General features: G+C 43.4%; 1 long non-coding RNA gene across 2 annotated transcripts in view, besides 1 other annotated feature; it reads left to right on the top strand.

Moving 5' to 3' along the window:
- Positions 1 to 339: 339 nt before the first annotated feature.
- The window catches only part of LOC102724530 (uncharacterized), a 31,006-nt gene continuing 17,483 nt past the window's right edge, over positions 340 to 13,862 (top strand). For both annotated transcript variants that reach the window (XR_001742756.1, XR_001742755.1), the window contains exons 1-2: positions 340 to 537; positions 13,135 to 13,322. This is a non-coding gene — a long non-coding RNA (uncharacterized LOC102724530). The remainder of the gene's footprint in view (positions 538 to 13,134; positions 13,323 to 13,862) is intronic.
- Positions 1,014 to 2,213: an enhancer, noted in NCBI's record as "MED14-independent group 3 enhancer chr5:78641964-78643163 (GRCh37/hg19 assembly coordinates)". NCBI's record gives its function as "activates an origin of replication core promoter dependent on BRD2, BRD4, P300/CBP and CDK7 cofactors, and independent of MED14, by STARR-seq in HCT116 cells {active_cell/tissue: HCT116}" and the evidence as "EXISTENCE:reporter gene assay evidence [ECO:0000049][PMID:35650434]".

The following is a 13,862-nucleotide window of genomic DNA, read 5'->3' as shown; positions in this document are numbered from 1 at the left end:
GACTGAATACTGGAATAGTTTTTGTTGCAGACTGGGAGCCAACAGTTTACCTTCAGAGTGAGAATATGTATGGGTTCCTTAAAAACATGCAGTATGGCCGGGCACCATGGCTCATGCCTGTAATCTCAGGACTTTGAGAGGCCAAGGTGGGCGGATCACTTGAGGTAAGAAGCTTGAGACCAGACGCCAACATGGTGAAACCTGGTTTCTATTAAAAATACAAAAATTAGCCTGGCGCAGTGGCGGGTGCCTGTAATCCCAGCTACTCGGGGGGCTGAGGCAGGAGAATAACTTGAACCTGGGAGGCAGAGGTTGCAGTGAGCTGAGATCGAGCCACTGCACTCCAGCCTGGGCAACAGAGCAAGACTCCGTCTCAAAAAAAAAAAACAACAACATACAAAAATGCCTTTGGGATTCAGCGTAATCTGCAGGTTATAAAAGCAACTGCAAGGATGATAGGAGCTTTTTTCACCACAGCCTAGGATGCCTTTGAGAAAACCGACAAATTTGAAAACATGATAAAGGTAACATCTCTCTGTAAGTTGTTATTTCTTCCTCTTTATTATTTGGGTCAAATAATTTTTGAATTTCATTTCAATTCTTTTCACTTTGTGAAGAAAAAGTCATTCCAAGAAACCAACTCTAAGTCATTCCATTCTAACCAATATATTCTTTTCATATCATGAATTCTCTTCTCAATGTTGTTTTTCCTGAAGGAATGAAGTAATTTTATTTGCTGTTGAGGTTATGGTCAAATACTTCCAAGTGACATGTTTCTTCCTCAAAATATGCATTTTTTTATCTACCTGATTGTAACACTCAAAATATTATGCATCAAGCAGCGTCCCGTCTAAAATAAGATTTGCTATCTTATTGCTAAAAGTGATCTTATCAATATCCCTCCAGGAATCACGCATGCTATTGACAATAGACAGCAAACATGAATTGATTTTTTTTTTTTTTTTGAGATGGAGTTTCACTCTTATTGCCCAGGCTGGAGTGCAGTGGTGCCACCTCGGCTCATCGCAACCTCCACCTCCAGGGTTCAAGCGATTCTTCTGCCTCAGCCTCCTGAGTAGCTGGGATTAAGACATGCGACACTACACCGGCTAATTTTGTATTTTTAGTAGAGACGGGTTTCTCCATGTTGGTCAGGCTGGTCTCAAACTCCCAGGACCTCAGGTGATCCACCCGCCTGGGCCTCCCAAAGTGCTGGGATTACAGGCGTGAGCCACCACGCCCGGCCGAATTGATTTTTTTAATTAGAATTTTATGAGGCTTATTTTCAGATTAGGAAAGAGATGTGCTCAATTAAAGATTTCATTCCATTTTTATTGCAAACAAGGATGAAAAAGGAACAACTATTTCCACTGGATTCTACTTGAAGGAATTCAAAGTTCACTACTGGCAGTTTGACATTTGTCAAAGGTGTGAGGTGTTTCCACAGAGGTGTTGACCTACTCAAACTGCAAAGGCCTAGCTGTTTGAGTGGGCAGTGCTGGCCTGGGGCAAAGTGATGGTCCGTCCACATGACTGTTAAGTCTCAGGGCTGGGGTTCTGTCAGAAACTCATGCTAAAAACGACTTTTCCTCATCAGATTCTAAGTTGAGAAGATGTGTCATCCAATATAAATGATGACTAAGGCCACTCCCAGCTGTGACAGTGCACAACTCTAATAGTGTGAGTCAGCTCCCAGAGCCAGGGGGCTCTTCTTGACATTTCCTTCCATGAAGAACTCCGCACACGTGCATTTGCCACGCGGTGTTCTTCACACACGTGACCTGCCACTATCTTCCATGCAGCTTGTAACTCTTTGTTGTTATTGTTTTGGGGGTTATTTTTGTTTTTAGTTTTTAATCAAGCATGATTGTTTTGTTGTTGTTGTTGTTGATTTTGTTTTTTTGTTTTGTTTTTTAGACAGGGTCTTACTCTGTTGCCCAGGCTGCAGTGAAGTGGCATGATCTTGGCTGACTGCAACATCTGCCTCCCAGGCTCAGGTGATCCTCCTGCTGCAGCCTCCTGAGTAGCTGGGATTACAGGCATGTGCCATCACACCTAGCTAATTTTTGTACTTTTGGTAAAGACGGGGTTTCACCATGTTGACCAGGCTAGTCTTGAACTGCTGACCTCAAGGGATCCACCTACCTTGGCCTCCCAAAGTGCTGGGATTACAGGTATGAGCCACCGCGCCAGCCTTTCTGGTTTTTTTTAGACAGGGTCTCATTCCCATCCCCCAGGCTGGAGTGTGGTGATGTGATCACAGCTCACTGCAGCCCCGACTTCCTGGAATCAGGTGATCCTCCCATCTCAGCCTTCCAAGTAGCTGGGACTAAAGGTGTGTGCCACCATGCCCAGCTCATTTTTGTATTTTTTGTAGAGACAGGGTTTCACCTTGTTGGCCAGGCTGATCTCAAACTCCTGGGCTCAAGCGACCTCAGCCTCCCAAAGTGCTGAGATTATAGGCATGAACCACTGTGCCAGGCCTGTATATAACTTCATTTTTGGCAGGTACCTTCATCTCACCAGGCCCTAATTTCCTCCTCTGCAAATGAGGGAAATGATGTATAACTTGTTAAAACCTCTTCTTCCATCCCTGTTATATTCAAAACATTCAGAGAAAGAGAACGTTAAAAATCAATGCCTCCAAAGAAACTCTAACCTTTTTTTGCATTGAGGGCAAAGGTGTGTCTGGCAATCATTTATTGTTTGCCTCAGGATTTTGTGAACTTTCTTTAAACATACACCTACCATATGATCCAGCCATTCTACTCCTATTTACTCAAGAAAAATAAAAATACACGTCCACACTCAGACTCGCACATGAATCTTTATTCGTAATATCCCCTGGAAACAACCCAAATACCCTCCAAGGGGTAAATGGATAAATAAAACATAGTGCATCTATACAATGGGTTACTATTTAGCAATAAAAAGAAACACATGTTGGTACAAGCAACATGAACAGATCTCATTATGCTGAGTGGAAGAAGCCAAACACAAAAGGACATACTGTTTGATTCTATTTATTTAAAATTCTAGACTCAAACCGATCTATATAGTGACAAAAAGCAGGTCGGTGGTTGCCTGTAGCAGGGGATAGAAGACAGGACTGCAGAAGAGCCCAGGAATCTTTTGGTGGCCATGGCAGTGTTGTGATCTTGGTGGTGATGGTAGTTTCATGGTGTATACAACTGTCCAGACTCATCCAGTTGTATACTTTAAGTCAGTACAACTTGTTTGTAACTTATGTCTCAATAAAGTTACTAGGGGGATCTTTTTCGTAAGCTGCTGACTGTTGAATCTGGGGCTAGGAGAAAGGTGTCATGCGCAGCCGAGAAGTTGTGTGGAACCGCGTCATCCAAAAAGCATTGATGAACCTCTGCTTGATAAGTCAGTGGGTTTTTTTTTTTTTTTTTCTTTGAGATGGAGTCTCGCTCTGTCGCCCAGGCTGGAGTGCAGTGGCGCGATCTCGGCTCATTGCAAGCTCCGTCTCCCGGGTTCACATCATTCTGCCTCAGCCTCCTGAGTCGCTGGGACTACAGGCGCCCGCCACCACACCTGGCTAATTGTGTTTTTGTATTTTTAGTAGAGACGGGGTTTCACCATGTTAGCCAGGATGGTCTCAATCTCCTGACCTTGTGATCCGCCCGCCTGGGACTCCCAAAGTGTTGGGATTACGGGCGTGAGCCACCGCGCCCAACCTGAGCCAGTGTTTAAGACTCATGTGAAACATTGTGGAGAGCCTTTTGGTTTCTGGGAAGCCTATGTGGATTTGTAGAAAAAGAGTTTATCTTATGGTTTTGGGTAAAGCCCCTGAGCAGAGAACTAGCTGGGGACTGAACAGGGTCTTGGGTTTGTGGAGCCCTTCTCTTTCTCCAGTCCCCTATGCACCCCTGAGCGCCAGCTGCCGACGGCAGGCAGCCTCTGGGTTTAGCAGGCCAGGCCCCTAGAGACCTATTTCTTTCTGCACCCTGCCCTGCAGTGGTGTGGCTTCCTCGGGGGTAGATTCCATTTTACTTCTTCCATGCCGTATTCAGAAACTAGAAGGCTGGAGAGTGTGTTCTTGTTTTATTGCCCACTGGAGTAACCTAGTTCAGTTGGAGGGGCTCAAAGAATCATAGGTTGTAGTTTTTGGAAGAAACCTCAGAGAGTCTACTGTCCAACCTCCTCATGTCCTGAAGGAGGAAACTGAGGCCCCGAGAAGCTAAGTGACTGGCCTCAGGGCACACAGGACGAAAAGCCACGGCCCTCCAGGAGTTGCCCCTTCACCACGCTCTCTCCACGACAGGCTGAAAAAGTGCAACTCAAAATCTTTCACTGTCTAAACCCAGATCCTAAACCTAAGCTGCTTAGCTTGCTGCATTTGTGCAAAACAGAAGCTGGAAAATGGCAGGCTTCTAGCTGAGAGAAAGACACCGAAGTCTCGGATGTGCTGCGAGGACGCGTGAGGGTCAAGCTTAGCATGTGAGTGAATGAGAGGCATTTATGATGATTGCGGAACTCGGCAGCAGTTATAAAAGCCTGCTCCACGGTGAAAGTGACCATGTTAAATTTCCATTCTTATTTGCATTTGCAAAAATAGAATAAAATTATTTCTTGGGTGGGAACATTTGCTGTGACTGAGCAGTGCTTCTCACTCATTGCTGCTCCTTTTACTTTTCATAGACTTCTTTTCCCATGATGGCTGTTGAAATAGGAGATACTTTATATAGAGAGAACATTCACCACAGCACATTCTGGATTGACGTTGAATCAGATTCTTCCAGTGCCAGGGAGTAAACTAGCCTTTCTGGAAACTGTGCTAACACTCAGTCCAACACGGCTTGAATTTTCAAACTGCGGCTTGGCGGGCTGAGGTCTTAGTGGTGTTCCTAACCCTCTCCTCTCATCCCGGCTCTATAATACCTGGGCAGGAGCGCCAAGTTCCCAGGGCAGAGACACTCCCCTGGCGGGCCACAATGTTCTCTCCCAGTGAAAGCCACACAGCGAGCGTCCTGCCGGTGCTGGTCCAGGGGAGGCAGAAATGACAGTTGTGTAAGTGAGCAGGGGGCTCCGCCCTGGGGTTGACCTACTGTGCTGGTAACATGTTTTGCTCTTCACAGAGATTTCCCGGAAATCAGTTGCAGAGTTTGGCAGAAGACTTCAGGTTGTAAGACAGTCAACCCCCATATAAGAGCGGCACCCTCTGGGGGGACTACTAGGTTCCTGAGGGACAGCACTTCCCCAGGTGCTGCAGGGCTGAGGCCACACCCTCTTCCCAGTGGATCCCTCTTTGCTTTCTATGCCACATTGTCCTCTCCTGATGTCCCTGCTGTGTTGTGGCTGCAGCAGATACCTCTTGTGATTCAGCCATGGTGGGTGCCTTGCATGGGTCTCACACAGGTGTCCAAAACTTCCCACCCTACTGAGAACGGTGAGGGCAGAGCCTGGCCTTTGCAGCTTGTCTCTATCACCTAGCGTTGTAGATGCGTGTACCCTGCCATATTCTGGGGGCTGAATGAATCCTGTTGAATGATTAAATTACTTGTTGAGCAAATGGTTAATAAGGTCACTGACCTGGCCAGGTGCGGTGGCTCACACCTGTAATCCCAGCACTTTGGGAGGCTGAGGCGGGTGGATCACGAGGTCAGGAGTTCGAGACCAGCCTGTCCTATATGGTGAAACCCCATCTTTACTAAAAATACAAAAATCAGCCAGGCGTGGTGGCGCGTGGCCTGTAATCCCCGCTACTCAGGAGGCTGAGGCAGGAGAATCACTTGACCCCAGGAGGCAGAGGTTGCAATGAGGTGAGATTGCACCACTGCACTCCAACCTGGGCAACAGAGCAAGACTCTATCTCAAAAAATAAACAAAAATTGCTGACCTTGAATGTGAACTATTCAGGACACTGCACTAGTGATGCAAGAAACTACTGAAAGTACAGTGGGAAAATGAAACTTTTTCTAGAAAATTAGTACCAGAATAGATCTATGGTTATTTTCATATGCACTGTTTAATTATGGAGAACTGAGGCAGCTACTTGGGGGAAAATAAGTCATACCCTCCCTCATCTCTTATAATCCCTTGAATTTAAATCTTCCTCATCATTGAGGTCAAAGGTGCTTAGGCACCAGAATTCCTGAATTGGAAATTTTCTTTTCCATTTTCTTTTTCTTTTCTTCTTTCTTTTTTTAGAGACAGGGTCTTGCTCTGTCACCCAGGCTGGAGTGCAGTGGCATGATCATAGTTCACTGCAGCCTGGAATTCCTAGGTTCAAGTGATCCTCCCATCTCAGCCTCCTGAGTAGCTGGGATGATGGGTGCGTACCACTTTTTGCAGAGACAGGGACTTGCTATGTTGCCCAGGCTGGTCTCCAACTCCTGGCCTCAAGCAATCCTCCAGCATTGGCCTCCCATAATGCTGAGATTACAGGCATGGGCCACCGCTCCCAGCCCTCCATTTTCTTTATTAATTATAAATGTGAGACAGGCACGGTGGCTCACCCCTGTAATTCCAGCACTTTGGGAGACTGAGATGGGTGTATCCCTTCAGGTCAGGAGTTTGAGATCAGCCTGGCCCACCATGGCAAAACCTTGCCTCTACTAAAAAACACACAAATTAAGCTGGGCACAGTGGCTCATGCCTGTAATCCCAGCACTTTGGGAGGCCGAAGTGGGTGGGTCACCTGAGGTCAGGAGTTCCAGACCAGCCTGGAAAACATGGTGAAACCCCATCTCTACTAAAAATACAAAAATTAGCTGGGTATGGTGGCGCATGCCTGTAATCCCAGCTACTTGGGAGGCTGAGGCAGAAGAATCGCTTGAACCAGGGAGGGAGAGGTTGTAGTGAGCTGAGATTACAACATTGTACTCCAGCCTGGACAACAAGAGTGAAACTCCATCCAAAAAAAAAATACAAAAATTAGCCAGGTGTGGTGGCGTGCACCTGTAATCCCAGCTACTTGGGAGGTTGAGGCACAAGAATCGCTTGAACCTGGGAGGTGGAGTTTGCAGTGAGCTGAGATCGCAGCACTGCACTCCAGCCTGGGAGACAGTGAGACTCTGTCTCAAAACAAACAAACAAAAATATATGTGTGTATATATATTAATATATATATGTGTATATTTATATATATATGGTCTTCTTTACCTCAGAAATAGGAATACAATTACTATTTCAAGCTACTTTTACTATTTATTTTTTCAATCATCATAGAAGTATGTCCTAATGGCTCTTACCTTTAAAAAAAATCCTCCTCGAGATCAGGCAGCAATATTTGCTGTTCTGCAATATTTTCTGTTCTGCAGCCTCTGCTGGTGATACCCAGGCAAACAGGGTCTAGAGTGGACCTCCAGCAAACTCCAACAGACCTGCAGCTGAGGGACCTGACTCTTAGAAGGAAAACTAACAAACAGAAAGGAATACATCAACATCAACTAAAAGGACATCCACACCAAAACCGCATCTGTAGGTCACCAGCATCAAAGACCAAAGGTAGATAAAACCACAAAGATGGGGAGAAACCGAGCAGAAAAGCTGAAAATTCCAAAAACCAGAGTGCCTCTTCTCCTCCAAAGGATCGGAGCTCCTCGCCAGCAATGGAGCAAAGCTGGACAGAGAATGACTCTGACGAGTTGACAGAAGTAGGCTTCAGATGGTCGGTAATAACAAACTTCTCTGAGCTAAAGGAGGATGTTCGAACCCATTGCAAGGGAGCTAAAAACCTTGAAAAAAGATTAGACCAATGGCTAAGTAGAATAAACAGTGTAGAGAAGAGCTTAAATGACTGATGGAGCTAAAAACCATGCACAAGAACTACGTGACATATGCACAAGCTTCAGTAGCTGATTCAATCAAGTGGAAGAAAGGGTATCAGTGATTGAAGATCAAATTAATGAAATAAAGCAAGAGGAGAAGTTTAGAGAAAAAAGAGTAAAAAGAAACGAACAAAGCCTCCAAGAAATATGGGACTATGTGAAAAGACCAAATCTGCATTTGATTGGTGCACCTGAAAGTGATGGGGAGAATGGAACTAAATTGGAAAACACTCTTCAGGATATTATCCAGGAGAACTTCCCCAACCTAGCAAGGCAGGCCAACATTCAAATTCAGGAAATACAGAGAACACCACAAAGACACTCCTCGAGAAGAGCAACTCCAAGACACATAATTGTCAGATTCACCAAGGTTGAAATGAAGGAAAAAATGTTAAGGGCAGCCAGAGAGAAAGGTCAGATTACCCACAAAGGGAAGCCCATCAGACTAACAGTGGATCTCTCAGCAGAAACTCTACAAGCCAGAAGAGAGTGGGGGCCAATATTCAACATTCTTAAAGGAAAGAATTTTCAACCCAGAATTTTATATCCAGGCAAACTAAACTTCATAAGGGAAGGAGAAAAAAAATCTTTTCCAGACAAGCAAATGATAGAGATTTTGTCACCACCAGGCCTGCCCTACAAGAGCTCCTGAAGGAAGCACTAAACATGGAAAGGAACAACTGGTACCAGCCGCTGCAAAATCATGCCAAAATGTAAAGACCATCGAGACTAGGAAGAAACTGCATCAACTAATGAGCAAAATCACCAGCTAACATCATAATGACAGGATCAAATTCACACATAACAATATTAACCTTAAATGTAAATGGACTAAACGCCCCAATTAAAAGACACAGACTGGCAAATTGGATAAAGAGTCAAGACCCATCAGTATGCTGTATTCAGGAGGCCCATCTCATGCGCAGAGACACACATAGGCTCAAAATAAAGGGATGGAGGAAGATCTACCAAGCAAATGGAAAGCAAAAAAAAGCAGGGATTGCAATCCTAGTCTCTGATAAAACAGACTTTAAACCAACAAACATCAAAAGAAACAAAGAAGGCCATTACATAATGGTAAAGGGATCAATTCAACAAGAAGAGCTAACTATCCTAAATATATAAATATATATGCACCCAATCCAGGAGCACCCAGATTCATAAAGCAAGTCCTTAGAGACCTACAAAGATACTTAGACTCCCACACAATAATAGTGGGAGACTTTAACACCTCACTGACAATATTAGACAGATCAATGAGACAGAAGGTTAACAAGGATATCCAGGACTTGAACTCAGCTCTGCACCAAGCGGACCTAATAGACATCTACAGAACTCTCCACCCCAAATCAACAGAATATACATTCTTCTCAGCACCACATCGCACTTATTCCAAAATTGACCACATAGTTGGAAGTAAAGCACTCCTCAGCCAATGTAAAAGAACAGAAATCACAACAAACTGTCTCTCAGACCACAGTGCAATCAAATTAGACTTCAGGATTAAGAAATTCACTCAAAACTGCACAACTACATGGAAACTGAACAATCTGCTCCTGAATGACTACTGGGTACATAACGAAATGAAGGCAGAAATAAAAATGTTCTTTGAAACCAATGAGAACAAAGATACAACATACCAGAATCTCTGGGACACATTTAAAGCAGTATGTAGAGGGAAATATATAGCACTAAATGCCCACAAGAGAAAGCAGGAAAGATCTAAAATTGACACCCTAACATCACAATTAAAAGAACAAAAGAAGCAAGAGCAAACAAATTCAAAAGCTAGCAGAAGGCAAGAAATAACTAAGATCAGAGCAGAACTGAAGGAGATAGAGACACAAAAAAAACCTTCAAAAAATCAATGAATCCAGGAGCTGGTTTCTTGAAAAGATCAACAAAATTGATAGACCACTAGCAAGATTAATAAAGAAGAAAAGAGAGAAGAATCAAATAGATGCAATAAAAACTGATAAAGAGGATATCACCACTGATCCCACAGAAATACAAACTACCATCAGAGAATACTATAAACACCTCTATACAAATAAACTAGAAAATCTAGAAGAAACAGATAAATTACTGGACACATACACCCTCCCAAGACTAAATCAGAAGAAGTTGAACCTCTGAATAGACCAATAACAGGCTCTGAAATTAGGCAATAATTAATAGCCTACCAACCAAAAAAAGTCCAGGACCAGATGGATTCACAGCCAAATTCTACCAGAGGTATAAAGAGGAGCTGGTGCCATTCCTTCTGAAACTATTCCAATCAATAGAAAAAGAGGGAATCCTCCCTAACTCATTTTATGAGGCCAGCATCATCCTGATACCAAAGCCTGGCAGAGACACAACAAAAAAAGAGAATTTTAGACCAATATCCCTGATGAACATCGATGCAAAAATCCTCAATAGAATACTGGCAAACCGAATCCAGCAGCACATCAAAAAGCTTATCCACCATGATCAAGTCAGCTTCCTCCCTGGGATGCAAGGCTGGTTCAACATACGCAAATCAATAAACGTAATCCATCACATAAACAAAACCAACAACAAAAACCACATGATTATCTCAATAGATGCAGAAAAGGCCTTCGATAAAATTCAACATCGTTTCATGCTAAAAACTCTCAATAAACTAGGTATGGTTGGAATGTATCTCAAAATAATAAGAGCTATTTGTGACAAACCCACAGCCAATATACTGAATGGGCAAAAACTGGAAGCATTCCCTTTGAAAATTAGCACAAGACAGGGATGCCCTCTCTCACCTCTCCTATTCAACATAGTGTTGGAAGTTCTGGCCAGGACAATCAGGCAAGAGAAAGAAATAAAGGGTATTCAGTTAGGAAAAGAGGAAGCCAAATTGTGCCTGTTTGCAGATGACATGATTGTATATTTAGAAAATCCCATCGTTGCAGCCCCAAATTTCCTTAAGCTGTTAAGCAACTTCAGCAGAGTCTCAGGATACAAAATCAATGTGCAAAAATCACAAGCAGTCCTATACACCAGTAACAGACAGAGAGCCAAATCATGAGTGAACTCCCATTCACAACTGCTACAAAGAGAATAAAATACCTAGGAATCCAATTTACAAGGGATGTGAAGGACCTCTTCAAGGGGAACTACAAACCACTGCTCAATGAAATAAAAGAGGACACAAACAAATGAAAGAACATTCTATGCTCATGGATAGGAAGAATCAATGTCGTGAAAATGGCCATACTGCCCAAGGTAATTTCTAGATTCAGTGCCATGCCCATCAAGCTACCAATGACTTTTCTTCACAGAATTGGAAAAAACTACTTGAAAGTTCATATGGAACCAAAAAAGCCACATTGCCAAGACAATCCTAAGCAAAAAGAGCAAAGCTGGAGGCATCAAGCTACCTGACTTCAAACTATACTACAAGGCTACAGTAACCAAAACAGCATGGTACTGGTACCAAACAGATATATAGACCAATGGAACAGAACAGACGCCTCAGAAATAGCACCACACATCTACAACCATCTGATCTTTGACAACCCTGACAAAAACAAGCAATGGGGAAAGGATTCCCTATTTAATAAATGGTGCTGGGAAAACTGGCTAGCCATATGTAGAAAGCTGAAACTGGATCCTTTCCTTACACCTTATACAAAAATTAATTCAAGATGGATTAAAGACTTAAATGTTAGACCTAAAATCATAAAAACCCTAGAAGAAAACCTAGGCAATACCATTCAGGACATAGGCCTGAGCAAGGACTTCATGACTAAAACACCAAAAGCAATGGCAACAAAAGCCAAAATTGACAAATGGGATCTAATTAAACTAAAGAGCTTCTGCATAGCAAAAGAAACTACCATCAGAGTGAACAGGCAACCTACAGAATGGGAGAAAATTTTTGCAGTCTACCCATCTGACAAAGGGCTAATATCCAGAATCTACAAAGAACTTAAACAAATTTACAAGAAAAAATCAAACAACCCCATCCAAAAGTGGGCAAAGGATATGAACAGATACTTCTCAAAAGACATTTATGCAGCCAACAAACACATGAAAAAATGCTCATCATCACTGGTCATCAGAGAAATGCAAATCAAAAGCACAATGAGATACCATCTCACACCAGTTAGAATGGCGATCATTAAAAAGTCAGGAAGCAACAGGTGCTGGAGAGGAATGCTTTTACACTGTTGGTGGGAGTGTAAACTAGTTCAACCATTTTGGAAGTCAGTGTGGCCATTCCTCAAGGATCTAGAACTAGAATTACCATTTGACCCAGCCATCCCATTACTGGGTATATACCCAAAGGATTATAAATCATGCTACTATAAAGACACATGCACACATATGTTTATTGTGGCACTATTTACAATAGCAAAAACTTGGAACCAACCAAAATGTCCATCAATGACAGACTGGATTAAGAAAATGTGGCACATACACACCATAGAATACTATGTAGCCATAAAAAAGGATGAGTTCATGTCCTTTGCAGGTACATGGATGAAGCTGGAAACCATCATTCTGAGCAAACTGTCACAAGGACAGAAAACCAAACACCGCATGTTCTCACTCATAGGTGGGAAGTGAACAATAAGAGGACTTGGACACAGGAAGGGGAGCATCACACATGGGGGCCTGTCGTGGGTTGGGGGGTAGGGGAGCGAGAGCATTAGGAGAAATACCTAATGTAAGTGATGAATTAATGAGTGCAGCAAACCAACATGGCACATGTATACCTGCGTAACAAACCTGCATGTTGTGTACATGTACTGTAGAACTTAAAGTATAAAAAAAAAAAAAATTCCTCCTCAAATCACTTGAACCTGGGAGGCGGAGGTTGTGGTGAGCGAAGATTACACCACTGCACTCCAGCCTGGGCAACAAGAGCGAAACTCCATCTCAATAATAAATTAAAAAAAAAAAAAAAATCCTATGGCTGGGCGCGGTGGCTCACGCCTGTAATCCCAGCACTTTGGAAGGCTGATGCGGGTGGATCACGAGGTCAAGAGATGGAGACCATCGTGGCTAACACGGTGAAACCCTGTCTCTACTAAAAATACAAAAAATTAGCCGGGCGTGGTGGCGGGCGCCTGTAGTCCCAGCTACTCGTGAGGCCGAGGAAGGAGAATGGCGTGAACCCGGGAGGCGGAGCTTGCAGTGAGCCGAGATCGCGCCACTGCACTCCAGCCTGGGCGACAGAGCGAGACTCCCTCTCAAAAAAAAAAATAATAATAATAATAAATAATCCTTTTCATAGCTGTCAGTTGATTTTCTTTCTCGCTGTAAAACTTGTGTGTGCTCACACATTGTCTCCTCTTCCTTTCCATTCGCTCCTCAGACTTCCCCCTGGATTCAGCCCCTCTACTCTGCCAACATTGCTCTCACCAGGGTACCCAGTGACCTCCAAGTTGCCCACTGTGGGAGCACTCCTGAGTCCTCATCTTACTGGAACGCTCCTCACGACCATCAGGGAATCTTCTGCTGCCCATGAAAGGAAGCCCAACTCGAATTGCTGCAAGCAGAACTGTGAGTTTCTGAAATCATTTCTTTGATTATTTTCTCCCCTCTATTTTCCTTTCCCTGGGGGCAGTAATCGAATGTGGGTTTGGGAACTCATCCTCTGGTTGTCTTTTCTGTTGTTCAGGTCTTTGGTTGCTTATTCAGCTTTAGGAGTTTCTGGCTGTACTTTTAAACTTTGTGTTTAATTTGTAATTTTAGCTCTCATAGTTTTAGTTTCTAAGTGTGGTTCCTTGTTCTCAGAATATTCCTTTTTATCGCAACACATTCTTGTTTCATAGATACAGTATCTCACCTCATTTTTTTCTGATTAAAAATAATTTTAATTAAACTTTTTTTCCCCCTAGTTTCTGAATGTCTGTGTTTTCTCAGAATTGCTTTCTTCAGTCTGTTTGTGTCCATGGTATGGACACTTTCTGAAAATGCCACTGTGACTCTTAAGTGGTCTGCTTCTGTTCTACAGTGAGATGCTGGAGCTCTGGGGTGGGGACGCTGACTGACTGGTGGCTTTGGGGATCGACATCTTCAGAGAGATTGGGTGGGATGCCA

The sequence above is a fragment of the Homo sapiens genome, chromosome 5 (genome assembly GCF_000001405.40).
Source record: "Homo sapiens chromosome 5, GRCh38.p14 Primary Assembly".
Classification (NCBI taxonomy): Eukaryota; Metazoa; Chordata; class Mammalia; order Primates; family Hominidae; genus Homo; species Homo sapiens.
This window is presented reverse-complemented; position numbering and strand designations above follow the sequence as displayed.